The 26,844-nt window shown below is 41.0% G+C and overlaps 1 protein-coding gene and 1 long non-coding RNA gene across 42 annotated transcripts in view, besides 1 other annotated feature; both read right to left on the bottom strand.

Annotated features, from left to right (window-relative positions):
- NTM (neurotrimin) overlaps positions 1-26,844 on the bottom strand; it is a 966,208-nt gene that overhangs the window by 247,169 nt on the left and 692,195 nt on the right. The window lies entirely within an intron of this gene.
- Positions 336-1,535: an enhancer, noted in NCBI's record as "MED14-independent group 3 enhancer chr11:131958013-131959212 (GRCh37/hg19 assembly coordinates)". NCBI's record gives its function as "activates an origin of replication core promoter dependent on BRD2, BRD4, P300/CBP and CDK7 cofactors, and independent of MED14, by STARR-seq in HCT116 cells {active_cell/tissue: HCT116}" and the evidence as "EXISTENCE:reporter gene assay evidence [ECO:0000049][PMID:35650434]".
- On the bottom strand, positions 14,299-22,473 carry LOC124902795 (uncharacterized). Its single transcript, XR_007062958.1, has 2 exons — positions 18,689-22,473; positions 14,299-18,480 (listed from the first exon to the last, which is right to left on the bottom strand). It is a non-coding gene; the product is annotated as an uncharacterized LOC124902795 (long non-coding RNA).

The following is a 26,844-nucleotide window of genomic DNA, read 5'->3' as shown; positions in this document are numbered from 1 at the left end:
ACTGAATTTAAGAAAAGAGGAGACAATGTTGAAGACGAAGCCCAGGGCAGGATATTCACATCAATTTGTTATGAAAAAATTCATCTTTTTTGTGTCCTAATTGAAGAGACTGATGATTAACAGCAGAAACAATAGCAAATGCCATAGTCTTCTCAATTAGTTCAGCTTACCAAATTCTGACTTAAAACATTAATATTGAGCAAGCTTTCCCCTCAATGGGTGCCAAACCTCTAGCACCCACATAAGCTACAGACAAAAGCAGAGCTTTCAATGGAAGTTTTGAACAAGTGGGAGCAAGATCCTGAAGCATTTTTTTGAAGAATTGAAACAAGGCTTTGCCAGTATGATTCCAAAAACAAGGCACAATCAAAGCAATGGCTACCAAGACAAAGTGGAGGTGCTCCAGTGAAAGCCAAAGTGCACCAGTCAAGAGCAAGGCTCATGGTAACAGTTTCTTGGGATCCTCAGAGCACCCTGCTTGTTGAATTTCTGGAGGACAAAACAATGATTTCATCTGCTTACTATGAGAGTGTTTTGAGAAAGTCAAAACTTTAGCAGAAAAGCACCTGGGAAAGCTTCACCAGAAAGTCTTTCTCTACTGCTACAACACTCCTGCTCATTCCTCTCATCAAACAAGGGCAATTTTGTAAGAGTTTCAATGGGAAATCATTAGGCATTCCTCTTACAGTCTTGATTTGGCTGTTTCTGGCTTCTTTTTGTTTCCAAATCTTAAAAAAAAAAAATCTTTAAAGGGGACCCATTTTTCTTCAGTTAATAATGCAAAAAAGACTGCATTGACAGAGTTAAATTCCTGATAGAGGCAGGAGACAGCCAAATGCCTAGGCAAATAGGGAAGTGTCCTCAGAGAACCTCTGACCCACACAAGTCATTGTGCATAGGGGGCTTGCCTAAACATGCCCATGGTGAAAAATTCTATCCCTTAGCACATGCCCTGTAAAGGAAATAAATCAATGTGGACTGGCTCAGACCAAGGGCCCACATGCGCACTGGAGGAATTGGGTAGAGCCACCAGGAATGTGTGCCTTATGCTGGGGAAGAGCGTGGCTTCTTCCACTCGTATGTGGTGGCCTGGTATTCAGTGTGTGAGGGGGAAACCTGCATGCAGGACCCCTTTTTTTGTTGACAGCTTTCTTTTCACTTAATAAAAATTCTGCCCTCCTCACCTTTCAGTGTGTCCATGTACCTAATTTTTCCTGGTTGTGAGATAAGAACCGGGATTCAGCTGAACTAAGGAGAAAAAATCCTGCATCATTTTGGTGGCCAGTATGGGGACATGAGGAAGGGTAAGTAAAATGTGAACCCAAAAATATCTTTCCCTTTCATTTCTGAGCTTTCTCATCCTCAGACTTTTTCTGAGAGCAGGGGAAGCTGCCCCACGTCCCCCACCCCACTCACTCTCAGGGGTCGGGAATGTTGGCCTCAATCCAACCCTGTATTTTCTATGGTATTTTCCTTCCTTTTATTGGTACTGTAACAGCATTTATCTTTTCTTTTACAATATTGGGGGTGTTCCACCACCATCCCAATGGCCACAGGTGTGCATGTGGGATATACGGGTGAGTGGTGGCTCCCTGCCCCACTTCCCTCTTGGCTGGGGTGCATGGCTGTGTCCACTGCATGTCTATGTGGCATCCAATGGCCATGCAGGATGGGAATGAGCCACAGCCAATGCCGGGGACCCAAGGGGGCCTCAGGGACCTGGGCCCTGTGCAGCCGGCTGGCCAGCATTTCCCACTATGCATCCACATCCACAGAGTCTTCTCTTCCCCTGGTCAATTAATCCAACTTGATCTGACAGCAATCAAAAGTTTCTCTCCCTGTTGGAGAAACCCATTTGCAAAGGAACAAAAGGTTCTTCCCCCAGGTCTTCTTGGCCCAGCACTTAAGCTTTTTTTTTTCCCTTTGCTCCACCCTGTCGGGAGTTAACTTTTATGTGAGAGGTTTTTCTTTCTTGAAAAGCATCTTATTAGACCAGGACCACAATTCACAGGACACCCTTTTCCCCTTCCTTGTTTGAGAAGGACCCTATTCCACAGTTATACCTTAGCACTGGGCTTATGATAAGGAGGTAGCAGCCAGTCTGGTGTGGGTCACTGGGGGATTGATGAGACCAGGCACCTCCTTGAGGCAGTTCCTTTGTCCCAAACTCAATTCCAAGCCTTGGGTTCAACCCCTAGGAAAGAAAACTGGATATGAGGGATCCAGAGGGAGATGACAACAGTAGTTAAAAGGCACAATGTAGGTGAGCATGACTAATTCTTGCTGATTAAGCCAAGCCTCCTGTTTCATGGATAAAGGTCATGCTAGTATCCATGGCATAAATGAGGTCTAGGAAACTCAAAGGCTACTGACAGCAGAGGGAAAGGCAGTACGTGGGCAAAAGTGGATAATCCTACCCTCTAGGCCTCCCCTTAGCATGGGTGAAAGCCACACTGACAACCATGGGTGGCACCCTATCAAGGTCACTGGGACTTGGGAATATAAGGACAGAAGAAGGAAAAAGGACGTTTTTTTCTTTTCTCCCTCACATATCCTGGGTATTCCCTAGGAAGAGAAAGGAACCAGGGATGCAGGGCTCCCCTCTTTCTAGGTGAGCAGCCATTCATCTTCAGTCTGCTTTCCTTTTGAATGCATCCTGAACCTCTGAGGCTCCTTTGGAAGAAGAAAGCCTTCTTTTTTACTCCTCTGTCCCCTCTTTACAGATGGGTAACTGTGTCCCTGTACTATAGGACACTCCCCTCAGATGCATCCTCCAGACTGAGAAAAGTTAATTTCCAAAACCTGACACTGGTTGGCTTAGAATTGAGCTCAGGGGAAGAGAACCCAGAAGCCTGACACACTGACAAAAGGGTAAAATATTTTTTACCTGTTGGACTTTTGGCCCCTCTCTCCCTGTGCAAACCAGTAAAAGGAATGATAAGGATCACTGTTTATATTTACTGTAAAGTTTTGATTAATGAAAAAGAATATACGAGACTGGGCTTAAGCTGTAGCTAATCTGGTGTGCTTTTAGCGTCTTAATTGAGGCTTGTTGGTTTCACCTGTGAGGTCACGTTTGGTAAAGTTCAAAAGCCAGAAACATTGGACACATGGTGTGGCTAACATCGGGTAATAAGGGACTTAAAAGGACTTTCTTAAACAGCACTCAGCTTAATTAAAAGGGGGTATCCAAGTTATAGGTATATTTAAAAGGCCTTTATGTTTTTCTCTTCTTGGATCTTGTTTTGCTGGAGAAAAGTTTTTTTTTCCTCAATCGACTGAATTACCTTTCTCCACCTTGTCTTGCCACTATTTTTTTTTTTTTTTTTTGACATGGAGTCTTGCTCTGTCATCCAAGCTGGAGTGCAGTGGCATGATCTCGGCTCACTGCAAGCTCCGCCTCCTGGGTTCATGTCATTTTCCTGCCTCAGCCTCCCAAGTGGCTGGGACTACAGGCGCCCACCACCATGCCCAGCTAATTTTTTGTATTTTTAGTAGAGACGGGTTTTCACCATATTAGCCAGGATGGTCTTGATCTCCTGACCTCGTGATCCACCCACCTCGGCCTCCCAAAGTGCTGGGATTACAGGCGTGAGCCACCGTGCCCTGCCTTGTCTTGCCACTCTTAATGCATGTATGAAAGGCCCTAAGATAACTTCTGATGCTCTGAGACTCCTTGGGAAAAACAGAAAAGGCACCGTGGATTCCATTTTGAAAGAGACCTCTGCTTTCCTCTTGGAACCCCCAGAAAATAGAGGCAGATAAATCCCTCTCAAAATATGTTTTGTCTTCCAGCTGTGTCTGTTTATCAGGGCCTACAAACAGCATGCTTTCCTAACCCTGCTCTTAAAGGGCACCACCCAGAGACCAATAATCCAATTAGGAGATTTGCAAATGAAATATCTTGTAACAACTGAATCTTCTTCTGTCTGTGTAGTTATATATGTGATGTGCATGATATCTATAAAAAAGAGCTCTAATTAATTGGTCTAAAGAAAAATAAGTGCTTAACTGAAATACTTTTGAAGGAAAAATAAAAGCTTTAACGCCTTTTAGTTCATGTGACTTTAATCTTTGAGAAATAAAAACAGTCTTAAAGATTACTGGTAAAATGCAAATGTTGTTAAAATGTAAATAGGTGGTCTAAATTATACGGGTCAGATACTAGGTTTGCTAAATGTTTTAAGGTTATAAACTGCTTCTTTAGCTGTTGAGAACTGCTCCACTTGCCTGCTTCACAATTGTTAAGGCCTGGGGATATATGGAATTAACCACACCCTTCACCATGCAAGAAGGAGTAAAACTTTATTGGCACCTACTGCATAATTAAAACAATCTACCAGATTTTATGTTAAAGTTAAAAATTGCTAAGAAGTACCATTATAACATGTAATTGAGACCACTGAAAATACATTTACATGCAAGGTGTATAAGAACAGTAAAATGTGTCTTTAGTAAAAGATTATAAGAAGGCATGAAAATGTACATTTTTGCCTTGGGATAAAATATTGCTTTAAATTAGATAAGATAAAGACAAAGGTTTAAACAAGTTATAGAAGGTTTCTAAAAATTAATCTTGCAAACAAAATTCTGTGTGTGAACATTGACTAAACTCTGTAAATTGAGCATTGAAATAAAAGCACAAAGGTTTTCTTAAGGCACTAATCCACTCATTAGCAAAATTTGTAAAGGGTTATAAAAGATTTACAAGAATCTCAGCTCATGGTCAAGCTGGTTAAGATTGCATAGAATTTTCTATAAGGTTTCATTTAATAAATTGGGGTTGACATCAATAGTAAACTAATGCAAGGGTAAAATTTGGCTTTCTCTCCCTGGTACAAGATTTTCATGTAATAGTAAAAGATAATGAAATATTTTTGTTTGCCTCATGCATAGACTACCAAGGAAAAGAAAGAAAGACAGGAGACATTTTTTGGAAAGCTAAGTATTTCCTCTTAATGAGTAAAGGTTTTTGTCTTTCTAAAATAATTTTCAAGTTATCACTTTGGCAAAATAAATAACTTATGGTAATCTGAAATTCTAGTTCACAACATCAAGTGTTTTAAACCTCTACCATATTTAACAGGCTTCCCAAAATCAAATTTCAGCTTCAAGGTTGTCTTTCTTGAACTCTCTCTTTTGGATGCCATGGAGGGTCCCTGAGGCATCCAGATGAGAGATGAACAGGATTATCTGACATGTTTAGGTACATAGAATTAACAAAATGTGTTTAATCTTCTTCAGGTTATATTTTAGTAAATAATATTAGTATATGTCACAAAATTGTATGAGATTTCTAAAATCCTAATGTCTGAGTATATGCTATCAATCATAATTAAGGGTGTTAAGTATTATAAACCACAAAGATAACCAAATTTCTTTGTCAATCATGTTTTTGATTGTAGCGACCCTGTACATATTCTTATTCATAGACAATTGTTGTCTTGTTTTTATCCCCTTCAAAAGATGGTTTATAATCAGCTACATGAATTTGACAGGTGCTGTCAAATGCAGTTTTCTGATAATTTTGAAAATTGTGACATCGGAATAAAGGAAAAACATACAGGACTTATGAAGAGCTGAAAATTTCACGAATATCAAGCAGAACAAGAGTTATCTGAATAGACTGAAGTAATAGAAAACTGAAGTAATCTTTTTTTTTAACTTTTGCTTAAAATATTGCTAATTTTTTTTTTCTGAGTCAAGGGCACTTTTATTTTGAACTATTTAAAGTCTTTAATAATTGAGTAAGGTAGACTCCTGTGAAAAAATTTGGAGCACATTTGTTTCTCTCTGCCTGGATCCTCTAGAGTTTGAAAACTATCTGTGAGTATTCTTATCTTATGGCAATATGGTTATTTGCATCAGTGCAATAAGAATCCATTTTCTTTTGCAAGAGGATGCAATTGGAGACACTGGTTCTTTTGCTAAGGGTTTGACTGTAAGGGTATGCTTCCATTTAAGGAATCAAGCTCAACTTGCAGAGCCAATAAAAGCCCCCTGGGGATATTGGCCTCATACCTTGTCTACACAGTCCCCTTACAGGGTTCCTCACCTGTGGTGAGTAAAGAATGTCACTTTCTCACAGGCCCAGGAACTCCATATTCTTGTGACTTCAAGAAGAGAGGAATTCACCCAACTCATAGGTATATTTGAGGATAGAAACCCATGGCTAGGCTCAGCTTTAAAAAGTCCTATCTGAGATTCCTTGTGGAACAAACTTCCCTCAAAGCCAATTTTAAAAGCCTATGTAAAAATAATTATTCTTGCTGCACTTTATGCAAATAATCAGGCCAAGTATAAAACTAAAGTTTATTTTGCAAACAACTCAGTCCTATCACTATTTGTTTTTAACAAAAATAAGGACTGGAGAGAGAAATTCTGTTTCAAAGCTAATCATAGATTTGTCATTAAATTCTAGACTCATTCATTAAGTTTTTCATCTACATTTTAAACTAATCCTGCTCATTCCTCTGAAGTAAACAGTGATGTCTGGCTGCAACTCAGAAGAAACAAAAAGGGATGGGTAATATAAAAATCTGAATCAATATTCCAGTTCTGGGCAATTATCCTGCAAATCCTGCCAGGTGATGGGAGTAATAGAGTGCCCATAACCTGGAGGTTTCTTTTTTGGGAAAATCAAGACCAAGGGAGCTAACCACAAACCAAGGGCCATGCACCCAAATCTTAGCAGAAATAACTATAGCCACCGGTTATCTGAGCCTGCCAGCAGCCTCAGAATTTTTGAGCCGTCCTTACCCTCGCTTTTGTTTCATTTTGGTACATGTCTTCTAATAACCCGGTTTGTCCTTTCTTGGCTTCAGGCTATCAAACTCCAAACGGTCATGCAACCAGAGCCTTGAACAATGGCCCCATTTTACCAGGGACCCTTAGGCCTCTGACTGCCATTTTCCCCAAACAGTGCCCCCTGTCAGCAGGATCAGTTAAGATCAGTCTTCATCCTTGTCCTTATTCTAACAGCAGTTATATGTACTTCTTTACATGGGGGAATCATAGAGGGAGGAGACAGCCAAATGCCTAGGCAAATAGGGAGGAGTCTCCAGAGAACCTCTGACCTGCCCAAGTCATTGTGCAGAGGGGGCTTGCCTAATCATGCCCATGATGGAAAATTCTGTCCCTTAACACATGCCCAGTAAGGAAAATAAATCAATATGGAGTACGCATTGATTTTTTAGAAGACTAAGGACCTGCATGCATACCGGGGGAATGGAGTGGAGCCACCAGGAATTCATGCCTTATGCTGGGAGGAGCCTTGCCTCTTCAACTCATGAATGGTGGCTTGGTATTCAATTTGTGAGGGGGAAACCTGAATGCAGGATCTCTCTTTTTGTTGAGAGCTTTCCTTTCACTTAATAAATTCCACCCTCCTCACCTTTCAATGTGTCCGTGTGCCTAATTTTTCCTGGTCATGAAACAAGAACTGGATTTAGCTGAACAAAGGGGGGAAAATTCTGCATCATTCCCAGGACCATCAATTCTTTAGGGATGGACTAAATGGCTAGGATCACCACCTACAAAAGTGTTTTAACCTTGATGAAGCTTTTTTTGAGAAATGAAGGGTTTTTTTTTTTATCTTTTAATTCCATTTTTCCATGAATTTTTGAAGTCCTCTCATAATATAGTTGCTTTTCATATTCTCTGTGCCAGCAATTGCATTATTTTAATCACTATATATATATATATAAATATATATATATGAATATGTGTGTGTGTGTGGCGTGAATATATGTATATATATATTTAGTCTTGCTATATTGCCCAGGCTAGATTTGAACTCCTAGGCTCAAGTGATCCTCCTGCCACAACCCTCCAAGTAGCTGGTTCACATACTACTTTGAAAGCTATTACTTCATACAAGTGTTAGTAGATTTAAAGAGCCAGTCTGGCTTCTATCTTTTTTTTTTTTTTTTAGATGGAGTCTCGCTCTATCGCCCAGGCTGGAGTGCAATCTCGGCTCACTGCAAGCTCCACCTCCCGGGTTCACGCCATTCTCCTGCCTCGGCCTCCCAAGTAGCTGGGACTACAGGTGCCCGCCACCACGTCCGGCTAATTTTTTGTATTTTTAGTAGAGACGGGGTTTCACCGTGTTAGCCAGGATGGTCTCGATCTCCTGACCTTGTGATCCACCCACCTCAGCCTCCCAAAGTGCTGGGATTACAGGCGCGAGCCACCGTGCCTGGCCAACCACTCTGGCTTTTGAAGATGTATTGTCCATCCTCTTAGGATAGGAAAAAAGGTCTTACTACAAGATGTCAATGTACATCACTACTGGAACCCACAATCAGGTACTGTTTAGTTATTAGGGAATTAAAGGAAAATGAAGTAGTATTGGGTTATTGTTTCTGTAGTGTAATATGTATACATAGGTATGCATGTGTGTTTGATTTCCACATGACAAATTTCTAATTATCCATTCTCATTTCCAAGTCTCACCATTTCCTGCACCAGTCTAATTCCTATGCAGCTCCAAGGCCCAGATGAAGTCTTACCTTCCAGGATATTCTCAGTGACAGTGAACTCTTCCTCATTTGAGGGACTACAGCATTTACAGCCTGTGCCAAATCCCTTAGCATCTATGTGCTTATTCTTTTATATACTTATCTTACTTCCTTTACATGAAACTTCTCCCTTCAACTATGTTATGTAGTCCTCAAAACTGGGTAGAGGATGGGACCTTGCCCTAAACTTTTACATTTTTACTGTATCTAGCACTGGACTGGGTACATATCAGGAACACAGGTGCTGCTGCTTAATCAATTACCTTCATTCCCACTTGCCATCAGCTACCCAACTATTAGATCTCCATGCAACCTCTCAGAAAAGCATCATATGAAACAAGCACATTTCACAGTTTTTTTTAGATTAAAATCCAAACCAGCAACTATTAACAATAGAAGATATTCCATGGAGATGCATTTAACAAGCTCTCAGGTTAAGTAAGAACCTGCAGGGACTGTCCAGCACTCATACAGAACAGGTCATTGAAGCTTAAAGGGCTTCCCAGAGCCCAAGGGAATACAGAGATGAAATGTAGGTAAAAGGTAAATGGCCAAATGGCTAGAATCACCAGTAGGGCTGACAGTCTCTATGCCCAGCCATTTTATCATGGTGCCCAGTAGTAGCCAAAGTTGCCCATTAGTCTGGAGAATGAAGCTGCCTTTGTCAAGCAAAGCTGTCTACCCGTGGCTGCTGGGGATTTTGTGCAAATGCTCAAACCCAGTGATGATCTTTTTGGCATGGAGTTTTGGTACTAAGATAAGCCCTGTCTGCTCTTTGAAAAGCAGCCCAGCTGAGTGGGCCATGTGGGCACAGCTGGTGGATGCCTGCTGCAGTGACTGCACATTTAGTCACTTGGCAAATTAAAAGATGTCCTACACAGGCTGTAAGCTCACTTTCAGTTGCTTACTCAATGGGAGGGCCAGGGGGCATTGATTTTTTTTTTCAGCATTCTTTCATGATAAAACTTACCTGAGTTTCATAATGACTCTTCAGGATGAGGCTCTGAAAGTTTAAAATTTGGGGGCTATGAATTTAATATAGGAACTGGAATGCAGAAACTCTTCACATTTATCATACCCACACTTAACATCAAAACCCTGTACCATGTATATTTTTCTCCACCAAATCCATATTTGTTTTTTATTAAATTAGAGCCCATGAGAAAATGTCATATTTCGAAATTTAAAAAATCAACTACAGAATTACAAGAGATGGAACACTGCCCTATGAACAGTTCAAGCAAAGGAAAACTTATATTAGGTGATATTAACTCCAGATGAACAAAAAGGTGTGATGTGGCTTCCCAAAAGTTAATGGATTATGCAATCATATTAATAGTATAAAATACAAAACAAAAGAGAGCAAGGTCCTACTTCATACTGGACAGACCCCATCCAGAACATTGTGTACACTTTTAGTGTCAGGAACATGCAACCAGGTTACGTTCACAATTGTCATCAAGAATGTGAAGGTCTGCCATGCAAAAGAGGAGTTAGCCTAACTCTATTTTAGAAAAAATGGGCATACTTTGTAAAACAGGAGATTTTGACACATAAAGAGAAAATATGGAAAACTCCAAGTTACCAATAAAAATGGCTGCACCAGGAGATAGGGACTTTTTCCATCACTGGAACAAGGATAGCATCAACATCATCCTTAACAACGATGGTAACAGGAGCAACTGGAAATGAAAGCACCCTTTGGCAAGCATTAAAGAACTTTCTTCGGGCGCTAGAGTTTATAGGTGTTGATGCTAGGATTCAAACCCAGGTTGCCTGATTCTAAATCTTAAACTTGTGTCCACTAAGTTTTACTAACTCCACATCTACCTCACACCATTCTGATAAGGATTATGAGAGATGGATGTTGCATACAAAGAGTGTAGAAAAGCAGCTGGAAATATAGGTGGCCTCCATGAGTGTCGGCTACTGATTAGTATCATTATTTTCATTATTATGTGTCACAAATCTCATTGGGTGGGAGGATGGGCTAGAGAATGTCTAAGTCTAAGGTTTGCTGGTTCTGTAACAGAAGCACAGGCCCTGAACCACATTGCTTGTCTTCCGTGGGCTCGCGCTCACCAAGCATTGCTCCAGCCACTGGGTCGACCCCATGATGCTGTCGGTCCTCCTAGGATGCAAGGGTCAAGTGTGCATCTCTGCAAAATCAGGTCGGATGCTCTTGAGGTTCTGCATTTAATCCTAAAGTTGGACTTCTCCTTATTGAAATCCCATTCAGAATTGGCAAAATTCCATTTGCTGATTCAAAAAGGGGAAAGAGGTTTTGAAAAGGCTTATAACAAAGGCTCATAAGCCTTACAGATCCAACGGCTCTTAAAGAACAACATTTTGATGAGTTAAGTGTAAAAGAACCAGAAACATACGGATTAAATTCCCCTTGAAATTTGAATGCATCTAAAAATTAAAGGGAAAAGCACTTGGCAGAATGCACTGGGGTCCTCTGCTGAATGTAAAACGTTTAGAAAAATGTCTAGAGACATCTTGCCCAAATGAAGCAGCTCCCAGTTTCTATCTGGCTTACTTTAAGTGCTGCTTTCTTTCATGTCTCTTAGGAGATTATTTCAGACTCCCAGTTCCCCTCCATTTCTTCTCCCTTAACGGCTAATTGCTAATTAGCAAGATATTTGTGTGCTGGAAGAAGCAGTTCATTTTCTGAAATGGCCAGAGCCTACTGCTAGCGTCACCGGTGGCACTCACCCAGGTACCCCAGTGCTAAGTGTGCTGTAGCAGCCTGAGCCACACCGAGGGAAACTAAGCCCGACTCTAGGCAATATGCTAACCCTGTGCTACCAATTTGCTGAGGTTCGAAGCCGCACATCCGTGAGTGTGTCAGTTCCAGCAGCTTGCACTAGCCTCACCAGGCCAAGCAGTCCTCATTTGGAATCCTTGAGAAACTAAGCCTATGTAGGCAAGGCTAAACAGAGATTAAACTGACTTTACTGGGGAGAACAAACATTGTTAGACCTGATGTGTCCATTTGGTTTAGTGTCATGGTGTTCAAAGTAGACACTGAGAAGCAAGTGATGATCCCCTCGTGTGGGGCAAGAAAATATGAGTTTTTCCATGTATATTTATTTGTAGTGCATCCTTTTATACATTTCTATTTTTCAAGTGTTTGATTATTTGTTCAATACACATTAGTATAATGGTATAAGGATTTAACTTGCCAATAAATATACGTATATTATGAGTGATACTCAAAAGTTTTTTGTTGGATAGGTGTGGGAGTTCAAAACTGTAATCCCAGCCCTTCCAGAGGCTGAGGCAAGAGGATTGCTTGAGGCAAGGAGTTTGAGACCAGCATGGGCAACAAAGGGAGATCCTTTCTCTACCAAAAAATAAAGTTTGTTCTTGTTGCTTGTTTGATTTTTCATGCTTTGTTCTTCTATTGTTGGCTATAAGCAATCAAAAACATTTTGAGACCACTGTCTGGTAAACACACCATTGGCTATGGATCAGGCAGGTCTGGGCTTGAATTTTGCCTCTGCCCCTTATCAGTCAGACAGCTTTGAGAAGACACTTAGTCTCTCTGAGTCTCCACTTCCTCTTGTGGAAAAGGAGAATTTTACTCCTTTGAAGGTTGTGATGGGGGTTAGATAGTGGGGGTTGAAGAAAAGTTGAATCCAACACACTTCCCAGTTCCTGGCTTCTAAGGGCTCAGCAAAAGACAGCTGCTGGTATTTTCCCTCTTGCCCTTTCCATTCTGTAGGCATGAATTTCTTACAAGGCCCAAACTTTTATTGAGATCTTCCTCCAGTAAGTGGAAACACAGTAGTAGACATTTCAGTCATCATTTTAAATCAAGTAAAGACTTGAAGACAAGAAGGTTTAATTATCTAAGTTTGTCACTCATCACTGTTATCAACAGATGTCTTTCTAAGGCTTCCAATATGCAAGACCAAATTGTAAGTCTTTTCACACTCTTCATCTGAAGGTGTGGACCAGCTCACCCTGTGCCTTCGCATGTGTCACCAACAAGTCCATAGGGTTGGCTGGCGGCAATGACTGATATTCTAGTAGGGTAAGGTAAAGTGTGAATATTAAACACTGATTTCTCAAGTCAGCTTAATGTGAAGAAAGCAGTTTCAACTTGTCAGTGACTTAGAGAAATCCTCTTCTAGGGAATATGAAGGGAAAGAATTGCAGTTCACACAATCCCGTTTAAAGATTCTGTTATGTTTTGGAAAAAAAGACTTCAAAGAAAACATGAGACACAATAAAGAGATGGGTAATAAAAATGATGACAAGACCAATATTGATAAGATATAATAAATTTGTAATTGGCTTTGCTGTTTTACAGAAGACCCTTCATAAAGCTTATCTGATCTTCAATGTAGCCCTATGCAATAAGTATTGATATTAATTATTTTATAAATAGAAAAAATGAGGTTGAGAGATTCCTTAGAAAAATGTTGGTGTGGGACTCAAAAACATGGATGCATGTTCAAACTCCCATATTACCCCCTACAAATTATGTCCTCTTAAGTCTTAAGTCGTTCTTTACCAAATCATCTTTTCTTCCCATAGAACTTATTGTCAACTGAAATTATTTTGCTGACTTATTAGATTTGATTTTCAAATTTCCCCACTCTCCAAGAGAATGTTAGCTCCAGAAAAGCAGGAAACTTGCCCAGCTTGTCCACTACACTGTTAAACCATGCCTTCTCCATAGTTGGCCTCAACAAATCATGATGTTGATTTTGCTTTCTTTCTCCAACCTTGGAACACAATGGGGATCAGCTAATGCAGCCCATGGTCCAAGTCCCAACCACCTGCAGATCTGGTAAGTGAATTTTTATTGGGATGCCATGCTTATTCTATTGCATGGCTGAGTTGAGTTGTTGCAGCAGTAATAGTGTAGTCCACAGAGTCTACAATATTTACTAATTGTCCCTTGACAGAAAAAGTTTGCTGACCCCTGGTTCACAAGAATCAAGTAGAAGCTATAGATTAAAAAAAGAAGTATTTGGCAAGCAGGATTCTTGCTAAAAACAGGTTACAGTTGGAAGACAGCTATTTCAACAACACATACTCATTAAGTCAGATTAATACAGCTATTTAGCATGAAATGTATGGAGTAATCAATACTATTGTATCTGTTGTTTAAAAAAAATAAATGATGAAAGTATGCTATTGATTACATACCCACCAATGCTGTCGACATTTACCTTAGTTCAGGTAAATGCCACCAATAAAAAGGTTACCTATTGCATAAGAAGAATTAGATTTTCAGCCAATTTTCAATAATTCTGAGAGACAGATTAAGACCTTTACTGTACTTCCTTTTCTGCCTTTAGGCTGTTTCACATTTTCTTCAGAAATTTAGAGTGGAATGGTAGGGAGAGAAAAGAATTATCCTTTAATCTAAGCACTTGTAAACCTTTCTGGGAAGAGGCTATGTGCTAAAAGAATTCTTTAGAAAAATGAATAAACAGTTTATTTTTAGATTTCTGTGTAGACTGCAATTATCTATACTCTCCAGGCTAATAATAGCTCGAAAAATCCAGAGCTGTTTGGAAATGACAAGAGCTGTGTATGAACCTGAGATCATCAGAAATTTTCTTGCTACATAGGTATACATATGTATAAAACAACCAATAAAAGACAAAATGTTTGCTAACCTTAGAAATGCAAAATCAACTTGGAATCCCATCTTGGAATAGGATTCTAGAGCAAATGTATGTAGGACTTTTAATGGTGAGTCACCAAAAATATTGTTGCACCTTAGTTTTACAAAATATGTTTTCACATTTTAATATGTATTGATTAAAATTTTATTTTATAGCAGCAAGAACACTTACCATGAGCTCTACCCTCTTAACCAAATTTTCAGTGTATAATACGGTAACCAGAGGTACAATGTTGTACAGGAGACTTCCAGAACTTACACATCTTGCGTAACTGAAACTCCATGCTCATTCCCCTCTCATTCCAGCCCCTGGTGACCATCATTCCACTCTTTGATTCTATGAATTTGCTTATTTTAGATATCTCACATCAGTGGAATCATGGAGTACTTGTCCTTTCTGACTGGTTTATTTCATTCAGCATAATGTCCTCAAGGTCCATCCATGATGTCACATATTGCAGCATTCCCTGTATGCATCTTTATATACTCTTAAAAAATTGACACTTAATAATTGTACATGTTTATAGGGAACATAGTGATTTTTCAATACATACAACTTATGGTGATCAGATTAGGGTAATTCATATATCTATCATCTCAAGCATTTATCATTTCTTTGCATTAGGAACATTCAATATCCTCCTTCTAACTATCTGAAACTACATACTGTATTATTTTTATAGTCATCCTACAGTGGTATACAACACCAGAACTTATCCATACTGTGTAGCTGTAAGTTTCTATTCTTTAACAAATTTCTCCACTGTATGTAAATTCCACATTTTCTTTATCCATTTATCCAGCAGTGGACATTTAGTGTTTCCATATCTTGGTTGTTGCGAACAGTGTTGCAATGTTTCTGAAATAGAAATTTATCTTCTAATCTGTATGTATGTTGAACATGGTGCCCATTTTTCTATTTCTCTTAATCCTAAAAAAAAAAAGCTGTTATTAAATCAACAAGCAGCTAACTGTCAATGGTACCTTCAAATCAAGCAAATATATTTTTCCTGAGAAACTGAGAGTAGGGAAGAATCCATTTTTTTATGAAATATCTTCTCTAAAATTAATCCTTGCTGCTGATATAAAAGGATCCAGATATCAATCCCCATATTTCTTTATAAGCCAAACTTCTGAGGCAGGTTTCCCCACCCACCTGTGTGCTGAGTCCCCACAAGAATGGTGATGGACCCTGAGAAACTGACTCAGCCAAATCCCTCACAAGCAAGGCCTGGTGTTCCCAGTGTCCAATGGCCTGTAAGTCAGTCAAGAGTTTCCTTGCCATCAGCCATTTTGCTTCAAATAGCCTACCAAGTTCATTCCAACACAGAAAGGCATCTGAGAACTGCATATTGTTTTCCAAACAACCCATTATCTGGTGGCCTACTGAAAAATTAGTTGAGGGAGAATCTGTGCTGAGAGATAAATCTTTCTGTGACATTTCAAGACTCATCCTCAGCCAATTAGAACTGCCACTGTGAGAGCAGCCTGTTAGCACACATTCCAACCACGTTAACCCCAGAAGTTCTGAAAGAAGCCCCTTAGCAGACCTACAGTGTCCTCTGCATTCTGGGAACTGATGGGAAAGCATGTGCATGTGTTGACTTATGGTGGAGCAAACCCCAAACAGGTTTGTGGCCAGAAATGGGATAGAACTAAAGAGTCAAAGAACTGAATTGAGAAATTGCAGACATTAAAAAAAGCTATTTCTAGAAGGAGTGGCTCTTTAGCGACAGGATTTACTCTGACCTCCGAATGCAACCTTGGGCCACACAGGAACCTGGACTCCTGGACAGATGAATTAGGGTGCTTTATTTCAAAATGAAATTGACCATAATGGTTAGTTTGGTGAGTTTCCTAGTGGAGTTTTGGCCTGAGGTTTTAAAAACTGCTCCAGGTCAAGACACTCTGAACCTCTTTCTATGCTATTTAACTGGCCCTATATTCCTCAGTGATCTTTTTTGGAAAGAAGGTGGAGCCATATGTCCTTTTAACAATACTCATAGCTTGCCATTTACAAAGGTTACCTTTACCAGGGGAGCTAGGTACTTTGCAAACATACAACTAACATCATGCACTGCTGGGGACATTTACACCACCAAATCATTACATAAATATTGCTTCATTAAGTCACAGAACATTCCTAAAGATAACTAGGCACCTCTGCTCCCATTTTTCTAGTTGGATAAACTGAGGTCCAGAGAAGACAATTCCTATACTCAAAGTCACCAAAATAAAACAGTTTATTTTCACTGGATCCCCTTCACAAATAGAAAAGTCCCCATTTTGGCTCCTCGTTGTTAATACAGAGGACACTTAGTTTGGAAACCCTTAGCCTAGAGAACTGCCAAATTCTGTTTTCTGATGCCAGTGACACAAAGCCCCAGCAGCCCACAGGACAGAAGGAGCTAGCACATCTCCAAGCTGAGGGACTCCGTGGCTGCAGGCTGTGTGCAAATGGACCCAGCTCATAAGCCAGCCTCATTTTTCACAAATGACACCATCTTTGGATCTGCACGCATCTGGCCATAGAGTAACTTTCAAAGAGTGTTTGTCAAAAGCTTATTCTCTCAGAAGAGTTCCCAGGAGAAAACCCCTATTCCTCTCAGCAGTCAAATCAAAAGGCCCCTCTCCCTGAAACCCCACACACAGGCACCACAGTGAGGAGGAATCACAACCGTAAAATAAGGGGCCAGAGTCCCGCAGAGGCCCCTGTGCCTCTCTCCCGGGGAGGTGGCAGGGATATCTGTGTACACGGCACTCTCCAACTGAACTGGGCCTCCTGTCTTGAGTAAAACTAAAAATAAGGGTGATAACAAGAAAGATTTATCTGAGACTGAAAGGAAGTTCTGACATTACCATAATGGCATCTCTCCAGAAAGTCTGTTCTTTCCTTTCCATTCACATCTCCACTTAGTATTTTTCTGAAAATATAGCTAAAGGCAACTATTCTTTCCCCATGGTTCACAACTATCAGATTGCCCAAGCTTGCACAGACTGCCCCCAAAACATGGTTAGTTAATTACTCACCAACAGAAATACCAAAAGCAACAAATCAGTTGCACACATATGTGTTTGAGAACCCTTATTGTTCTAAGAGACTCCTAATTACACATTTCCTCTGGTATCTACCCCTACCCCTCCCTACTTCCCTACGGGAGTCTGAGTAACACAATCAAAGAAGATTCTAAAGAGGCTTGTCATATCCTGGGGTTTACAAGACATGGTATTCAAAAGGCAATGATGTTAATATTGTTTTACAGTATGCTGGCTGCTTGGGGGGTTTGCAGCCATCTGTGTTCATTAACCCCTTTTTAAGTCAGGGGAAGGGCTGGGGTTGGCTCATTCACAGAGTTATGCTGCCTGCCTCATCACTCACTTCCTCTATCGAGTCATTGACTTGGGGGCATCAGGCATGATTTATTAGTAGGAAACATACCAGTAGACTTTGGTACAACAAGCATCTCCTAATTTTGCCCTAGCCAATCCCTATAAGAACCACTATCTGTATTACCTCTGAGTTCTCCAAGAGCTGATTCTAGAATATCCAGGTAGGTGTGAGTTACGAGCACAGAAGATTTTATTAGATCCACCGTCAAGGACTCCTAATACAGGCCTATTGCTACTGATGGATGACCTGGTTACCATATATATGAGGTAGTTACATTTATAATACAACGCACTTTTTTGTGTGAATCTGATAAAAGCTATGAACTCTAATTCCAGAAAAAAAAAATGTTCTTTCTCTCTTTCACACAAAAACGCACACCCCATATAATTCTGGGAGGTTCATGACCCACTGAAGCTCATCTGGGTCCACCAGCCCCAGCTGAGGAGATCTCATTTCATTAGAAGTTTAGCTTATTCTAAATATTTACCATGCCCTTCCCCACACTCCCATTATAATCATGGCTAATGTATTTTCATGATCTTTAATTTTTCCCACATTTGAATCAAATGATCTCCTCACTGATAGGAAGGGAACATTCTACTATCACAGTCTTTCATTTTAACAGATACACAGGCATCAAGGGCTTAATACAGGCAAGCACGGTGGTGGTCAGTGTGACGTGTTAACTTGGCTGTGTGACGTGTTAACTAACCTGTGATGGTCAGTGTGACGTGTTAACTTGGCTGAGTGACGTGTTAACTAACCTGTGATGGTCAGTGTGACGTGTTAACTTGGCTGTGTGACGTGTTAACTAACCTGTGATGGTCAGTGTGACGTGTTAACTTGGCTGAGTGACGTGTTAACTAACCTGTGATGGTCAGTGTGACGTGTTAACTTGGCTGTGTGACGTGTTAACTAACCTGTGATGGTCAGTTTGACGTGTTAACTTGACTGTGTGACGTGTTAACTAACCTGTGATTCTCAGTGTGACGTGCTAACCTGGCTGTGTGACGTGTTAACTAACCTGTGACGGTCAGTGTGACGTGTTAACTTGGCTGAGTGACGTGTTAACCAACCTGTGATGGTCAGTGTGACGTGTTAACTTGGCTGTGTGACGTGTTAACTAACCTGTGACGGTCAGTTTGACGTGTTAACTTGGCTGTGTGACGTGTTAACTAACCTGTGACGGTCAGTGTGACGTGTTAACTTGGCTGAGTGACGTGTTAACTAACCTGTGATGGTCAGTGTGACGTGTTAACTTGGCTGTGTGACGTGTTAACTAACCTGTGACGGTCAGTGTGACGTGTTAACCTGGGTGAGTGACGTGTTAACTAACCTGTGACGGTCAGTTTGACGTGTTAACTTGGCTGTGTGACGTGTTAACTAACCTGTGATGGTCAGTTTGACGTGTTAACTTGGCTGTGTGACGTGTTAACTAACCTGTGGTGGTCAGTTTGACGTGTTTTGGCTGTGTGATGTGTTAACTAACCTGTGATGGTCAGTTTGACGTGTTAACTTGGCTGTGTGACGTGTTAACTAAACTGTGACGGTCAGTTTGACGTGTTAACTTGGCTGTGTGACGTGTTAACTAACCTGTGACGGTCAGTTTGACGTGTTAACTTGGCTGTGTGATGTGTTAACTTGGCTGTGTGACGTGTTAACTAACCTGTGACGGTCAGTTTGACGTGTTAACTTACTTGGCTGTGTGACGTGTTAACTAACCTGTGATGGTCAGTTTGACGTGTTTTGGCTGTGTGACGTGTAAACTAACCTGTGATCGTCAGTTTGACGTGTTAACTTGGCTGTGTGACACGTTAACTAACCTGTGATGGTCAGTTTGACGTGTTTTGGCTGTGTGACGTGTTAACTAACCTGTGATGGTCAGTTTGACGTGTTAACTTGGCTGTGTGACGTGTTAACTAACCTGTGACGGTCAGTTTGACGTGTTAACTTGGCTGTGTGACGTGTTAACTAACCTGTGACGGTCAGTTTGACGTGTTAACTTGGCTGTGTGACGTGTTAACTTGGCTGTGTGACGTGTTAACTAACCTGTGACGGTCAGTTTGACGTGTTAACTTACTTGGCTGTGTGACGTGTTAACTAACCTGTGATCGTCAGTTTGACGTGTTAACTTGGCTGTGTGACATGTTAACTAACCTGTGATGGTCAGTTTGACGTGTTTTGGCTGTGTGACGTGTAAACTAACCTGTGACGGTCAGTGTGACGTGTTAACTTGGCTGTGTGACGTGTTAGCTAACCTGTGATGGTCAGTTTGATGTGTTTTGGCTGTGTGACGTGTTAACTAACCTGTGATCGTCAGTTTGACGTGTTAACTTGGCTGTGTGACGTGTTAACTAACCTGTGATGGTCAGTGTGACGTGTTAACCTGGCTGTGTGACGTGTTAACTAACCTGTGATGGTCAGTGTGACGTGTTAACTTGGCTGGGTGACCTGTTAACTAACCTGTGACGGTCAGTGTGATGTGTTAACTTGTCTGTGTGACGTGTTAACTAACCTGTGACGGTCAGTTTGACGTGTTAACTTGGCTGGGTGACGTGTTAACTAACCTGTGACGGTCAGTGTGACGTGTTAACTTGGCTGTGTGACATGTTAACTAACCTGTGACGGTCAGTTTGACGTGTTAACTTGGCTGTGTGACGTGTTAACTAACCGGTGACAGTCAGTTTGACGTGTTAACTTGGCTGAGTGACGTGTTAACTAACCTGTGATGGTCAGTGTGACGTGTTAACTTGGCTGTGTGACGTGTTAACTAACCTGTGATGGTCAGTGTGACGTGTTAACTTGGCTGAGTGACGTGTTAACTAATCTGTGATGGTCAGTGTGACGTGTTAACTTGGCTGAGTGACGTGTTAACTAACCTGTGATGGTCAGTTTGACGTGTTAACTTGGCTGTGTGACGTGTTAACTAACCTGTGATGGTCAGTTTGACGTGTTTTGGCTGTGTGACGTGTAAACTAACCTGTGATCGTCAGTTTGTTGTGTTAACTTGGCTGTGTGACGTGTTTACTAACCTGTGATGGTCAGTTTGACATGTTAACTTGGCTAGGCTGCAATGCCCAGTTAGTCAATCAAATACTAATCTCGTCATTGCTGTGAAGCCATTTTTGTAGATGAGATTAACATTCAAAAATAAAATTGGTTTTAAATAAAAGAGATGATCCTGGATAATCTGGGTGGGTCTCACCCAATCAGCTGAAAGGCCCTACAGGCAGAACTGAGGTTTCTGGAAAGAAATCCCACTTGTGGACAGCAGCTTCAGCCTGTGCCAGAAAGCTCCAGCTGCCATTCCTGATGGCCTGCTTTACAGATTTCAGACTTGCCTAGCCAGCACCCATCATCATGTGAGCCAACTCCCTGCAATGCACCCCTTTTGATGTCTCTTACTAGTTCTGTGTCTCTGGTTTAACCCTGACTGATGCAGATTTTGCTACAAGGAAGTGAGTTATTGCTAGAAGAAATACACTTTAAAAATGTGCAGCTGGCTTTGGAATTGGACAATGAGTAGAGGCTCAAAGAACTTGTAAGTGCATGATAGAAAAAGCCCAGATTGTCTTTACCAGCGAATCCATAGAAGCCCTTCTGGTGAGGTCTCAGAAAAAAATTAGAAGCATGTTGTTGGAAACTAGAAGAAAGGCAATTTTTGTTATACAGAAGCAGAAACTTAGCTGAATTGTTTTACAGTTAGTGTAAAGCAAAACTTTTAAGCCATTAATGTGGACATTTAGCTGATGAGACTTCCAAGCAAAGTACTCAAGGTGCAGCCTGGTTTCTTCTTTCTGCTTATAGTAAAATGTGAGCAAAAATAGATTAATTGAGGAAAGAAGTGTTACGCAAAAAAAGACCCTTGATTTAGAAATTAACAGCTTGTTTAAATTGCAAAATATGCTAAAATTAGAAGATCCACTGTTAACAAAATGTCCTCTGGAGAGAACGCCAAGTATATGACTGAACACCCTGTTGCTAGAACTGAAGGGAATGGGTATGTGACCCTTGGATATGAATGGATATCAGCATAGGTCAGAAAGAAAGATGAGATTATCTAAGAAATTCTGTGGAGGACCCTTTTGTCTAATAATATGAATCCCTATGACACATACAGGAGAATCACCAGGTTTTTGAGAATATTACATCAGTAGAAACATGTCCAGCTTAGACTGAAAGGATCAAGGACATGACTAAATGAAAGAAGGTTGCTAGACTCCCAAAATTCCATAGAAAGAAAATAAGCTCATAAAACTACAAAGTTGCAAACATGTGCTACCCTTCATGAAAAAAGGAAAGATGACTGTGAGGGCTGAGCTTTGGAACCAGAGCCCAGAATTGCAAGGCCAGAAGGCAGAGCTATGGGCCCAGAGGGCAGTGAAATTAGCCTCAGGGGATTATTCCCAGGCCTTGCATGTAATGGAATTTGCCCTACTGGATTTGGAAGGTGCCTGGGTCTGGGTAACCTTTTCTTCCTTCCATTTTCTCCCCTTTGGAATAGGAGTGCCTACAACTGTTATTCTATGCTTATTCTGCCATTAAATTTTAGAAGCAGATAACCCGTCTTCTAGTTTCACAGGTCAACAAGTGAACAGAAACTTTACCTTGGGGTGGATCATATCCATAGTACCACCCATACCTGATCTAGATGCTGAGTTTGGGACTTTTGGGGCTGATGACACTTAGGTAAGATTTTGGATGTGAGTTGATGCTGTAACAGGCTGAAATTTGGCAGTATGTTGGTATGGGGAAAATGTATTTTGCATGTGGGACAGACAAGAATCTTTGGAAGCCAAAGGTTGGGCACACTGTGAGAGGCTAAAAAATATTCCACAAAAGCTGGTTGGGTACAGTGGCTCATGCCTGGTCATCCCAGCACTTTGGGAACAGGCAGACTGCTTGAGCTCAGGAGCTTAAGACCAGCATGAGCAACATGGTGAAACCCTATAAAATACAAAAATTAGCCAAATTAGCTGAGTGTGGTGGCACATGCCTATGGTTCCAGCTACTTAAGAGGCCGAGGTAGGAGGATCTCTTGAGCCTAGGAGGTCAAGGCTGCAGTGAGCTGTTACTGTGCCACTGCACTCCTGCCTGGGAGACAGAGCAAGACCCTGTCTCAAAAGAAAAAAAAAATGTTTCACAAAAGCCATGCACATCCTAATCCCTGGAATCTGTGGACATGAGCTTATATGGTGTGTGTTTGGTGGAGGAGGTTGGGGTGGGGGTAATTTACAGATGCAATTAAGTTAAGGATCCATAGATGGGAAGATTATTCTGGAGTATCTGAGTGGGTCCTAAATGCAATGCAATTAATTCATAACAGAGCAAGAAAGAAGCAAATTTGAACATATATAGAAGAGAAAGCAATGTGAATATGCATCAGAGAGAAATTTGAAAATGTTGGCCTTGAAGAATGAGATAATGTATCAATCCAAAGAATACCGGAAGCCACTGGAAGAAAGAAGAGATGAGAAATAGATTATCCCCTACGCTCCTGCGGCTCTGCCAATGTCTTGATGTGGGGCCAGTGAAGTTGAGTTTGGACTTCTGGGCTCCAGAACTGTGAGAGAATACACTTCTGGTTGTTTTAAGTCACCCAGTTTGTGGTAATTTGTTACAGCAAGCATGGGAAACTAACACAGATCCTACAGAAAACTAAAATGAGAAAGTCATCAGTCTCCATCATAAAAATTTATGAATCAACCTATAGAAGGGTCCAGATGAATATCCAGCTAGCTCTAATACAGGGATGGCTGACAACAATAAAGACGTAAGCAAAATGCAAAAGCCTTGGAACAGTTCCTCAGGTGGAGGAGACTGAGAAAGATTCACAGAGAGCAGAGCATTTGGAAGAAGTAGAGGCACAGAAATGACCAGCACATTCTGAGAAGAAGACACTGTTCAAATGGAGGAACATGAAATTCATGGTGCTGAAAAGGGTTGGAAGGGGGATGATAATGACAAAGAGATAAAATTAGAATGTTAGAGTAGGCATCATGTTAGAGGTATTCTAGTGATTTTCAAATTGTGCTTCATGGGAGACATGGAGAACTAAAAATATTGAATACAACTGGTCTAGTCTACACTCCCCACAACCCCAATTTACATTGGAAAAAAAATAAAGACTTACCAAGGATGCACAGGCATACACAAAGAAAGGCTGTATAGCATGGCTATTGGCATCAGACGGATGTGAATTCAAATGAAGCAAGTCCACGTGCTCACAGATAAGTTTCTGTACCTTTCTGAGTTTAATGTAAGCAATAAAGATAAGAGCACCTGCTTCACCCAATTGTTACGATGAACTAATGTATGTCACATGCCTACACAGTTCTTTAAACTTAACCAAGTACCCAGTAACAGAAAGTAAGCAAGTAGGAAAAGTCAGGATTAGAACCCATGATTTATCATCTTTCATTTTTCCACTACCAGGCTAGAAAAGTTAGGTTCCAATCAGAATTTAAATTCTTGAATGGCATGTCAAGGGTTTCTAACTTTATGAGTTTTAATTCATAGAATAATTATAAAATACGAGATACTGTAACCTAGATCTGTCTTCTAAACATCATTATCTAGTGGTAGAAAGATATGAACAATCATATGAACAAGATATGAAGTGAGAAGAGAGACAGTGTGGAATCTGGTGCAGGAGATTCTAGTAATGAGATGAGGAAGCCCTGGTTAACTCTGCTATAAGAAGCATATTCTACACGCTGTGCCTTTTTGCCCTGAGATGATGTTTGAGGAGACAGAAAACTAGCCAAGCACAAATGATTACTCAACAGCAGGAAAATGTTGCATGTATGTGGTGAGGAGTTGGGGGCAGCCTAATTATGCACGGATGTTCCAGAAAGGACATCTACACTTGGCATCTCTTCTGAGAGAGCTGGTCATGAAATGTCACAATGTTCAATGTCTGGGAATGCATGCAATGTTTACAAAGCCTGCTTTCATGATTCCTGGTGATCCGGACAGCCAGCTGTAGGAGTTTCCCCAAGAGTCACATGCCCTGCACTCCTGTGCACAGACAAACCAGTGGAATGTGCCATTCCCCTAACCTCTTCCTGTGAGAGCAGAGGCAAATGTGATCTTTGAATCTTAACATACACACACATCCTTGTCAGTGTGACAATAAATCCATAATATTGCGCTGGATTTTTAAACAGAAATGAGGAAACACGGGTAAAATGAATCATGTTCTGGAAAACCAATGAAATGCAGTGGTTGTTTGAAATGTTTATTCATTTAAAATAATGAGGTATGATGTTCTGACCCATAACCCCAGGCCATGGTCACTTACACTGCCTCCCCTATGGAAAGTGAAGTTGTTAGCCTGAAGAACAATTAAATGGACTGGAACCATGGGGTTCAAAGAGTAGAGATCAGTTAGTCTTCTCTGCCTGCTACTCTGGCTATTTTCAGGTTTGTTTCCTGCACTGTGTGATCCAGGGCTTTAGTGAGGCTCATTTTAAATCATCCGAAATCCCATGGCTTCAAATCCCTTCCCTTAAAGAAGTCACTACATTGTAGGAGGCCTCACTATTAACTCTTCATTGCTGACAGTCACCTTGAATGTGTCTTTGCTCAATTCTTTCCCATTATTCACTCTTGTACCTTTTGGATAATGAGAGATTGGGTTTGACATATATTCCATATTTCAATGCATGTAACATGTACCTAACTTAATGGCAATTTCACAATTATATACACACTGACACACAAATACACATATATATATGTAACTTTGCTAAATTGCAGTTGTTAGGATAGATAGATAGGTAGATAGATAGATTAGATCTCCTTACCCAAGTCTATATATGGGCTTCTGAACCCCAAATTATTTGCAATATGTGATCCTATGCATTTTGTTTTCCAGAGAAAGAAAGAATTTTTATCAGATTCTTAAAGAGAGTGTGCAACCCACAAAAGACTCACTCTTACCTTTCTTCCTTTCTCTCCTCCTTTCTTTCTCTCTCATCTCCCCTTCTTGTGCTTTTCTGCCTCCTCCTCTCTTCCTCACACTGCTTTTCCAACATGATGTCCCTCCTCACTTTCCCTTGTTGAGTTAGCTTTTAGAGGGAATGGTGTGGTGCCCACGTGCTAAAGTACACAGCACCCTGCTCCTTAACTTTGTGTTGCTTTGTGGGTCATGTTAAGTGTGTTTTAACAGATTCTGACTCTCTGGAGAGTTGACTAAAAGCTTAGAGAGGGTGAAGATGGTGAGAGGAGCTGGCTTATCACAAGTGCTATGTCTGCCTCTTTTTGTAGAGGAGATGAAGTGGAGACAGACTCACATACCAGGATTCCTAATTGTGTTCCCTCTCCAGGCAGGGGAAAGAAGGACACGTCTGTCCATTCCTTACTGCTCTTGAGCCAAAGAACAAAGAGAATCTGGACAAAGAGCAATTCCACCTCAGTCCTTCCACATCAGTATTAAACTTGTAAAATGATTGAAGTCTAAGTCTGAAATAACTGCACAATTAGGGCACCGGAGGGTGGGGAGACACACGATTCCAGTAGCTTTTCAGGCTCTGCTGGCTCAGTGCATCTCTGAACAGGGTACTGTAAAATTGGAATCCACCACTATTTTGATTATTCCTTATCTATATTGCCCTCTGGCCTTCCACCCTCTCATTAATAGACGGAGAAGTCACACCAGCTGATTTTTCAGGGCCTTCCCATTTCCAGCTTTGTGGGATTATCACACTTCTGGAAGAATCCAGCTTCCAAAATGACCTTCTCCATGGCTGTCCGTTAATCTGACTTTGCTATTCCTACTGCCATAGGCTAAATGTTTGTGTCCCCAAATTCATGCATTGAAATTTAATCTCCAATGCAAGGGTATTTGGAGGAGGAGCATTTCGGAGGTAATTAGGTAAGGAGAGTAGAGACTTCCCAGAGGCTCCCAAAAGGGAGAGGAGAGTCCCCTTGCCCCTTCTACCACATGAGGACACAGGAGAAGACAGCCATCTGCAAACCAAGAGGAGGGCCCTCACCAGACACAGAACCTGATGAGACATTGATCTTGAACTTCATAGCTTCCAGAGCTGTGAAAAAGAGATGTCTGTTGTTTTAACCTACCCAGTCTATGGTATTTTGCTCTAGGAGCCCAAAAAGTCTAAAACACTGACCTTTCTCCCAAGCCCCTGAGCTTTCCTTTCGAAAGCCCCACCCATCCTGCCTGGTATCCACTCCCACAAATAAACAAGAGACTGAGAACCCTGGCCTTCCATTTCTTTGTATAATTTACTCCATGGAGTTTCTACTATTCAATAAAGGAC

This window comes from Homo sapiens, chromosome 11, assembly GCF_000001405.40.
Source record: "Homo sapiens chromosome 11, GRCh38.p14 Primary Assembly".
NCBI classification, from domain to species: Eukaryota; Metazoa; Chordata; class Mammalia; order Primates; family Hominidae; genus Homo; species Homo sapiens.
The sequence above is the reverse complement of the archived record's forward strand: the minus strand, read 5'-3'. Positions and strand labels throughout refer to the sequence as shown.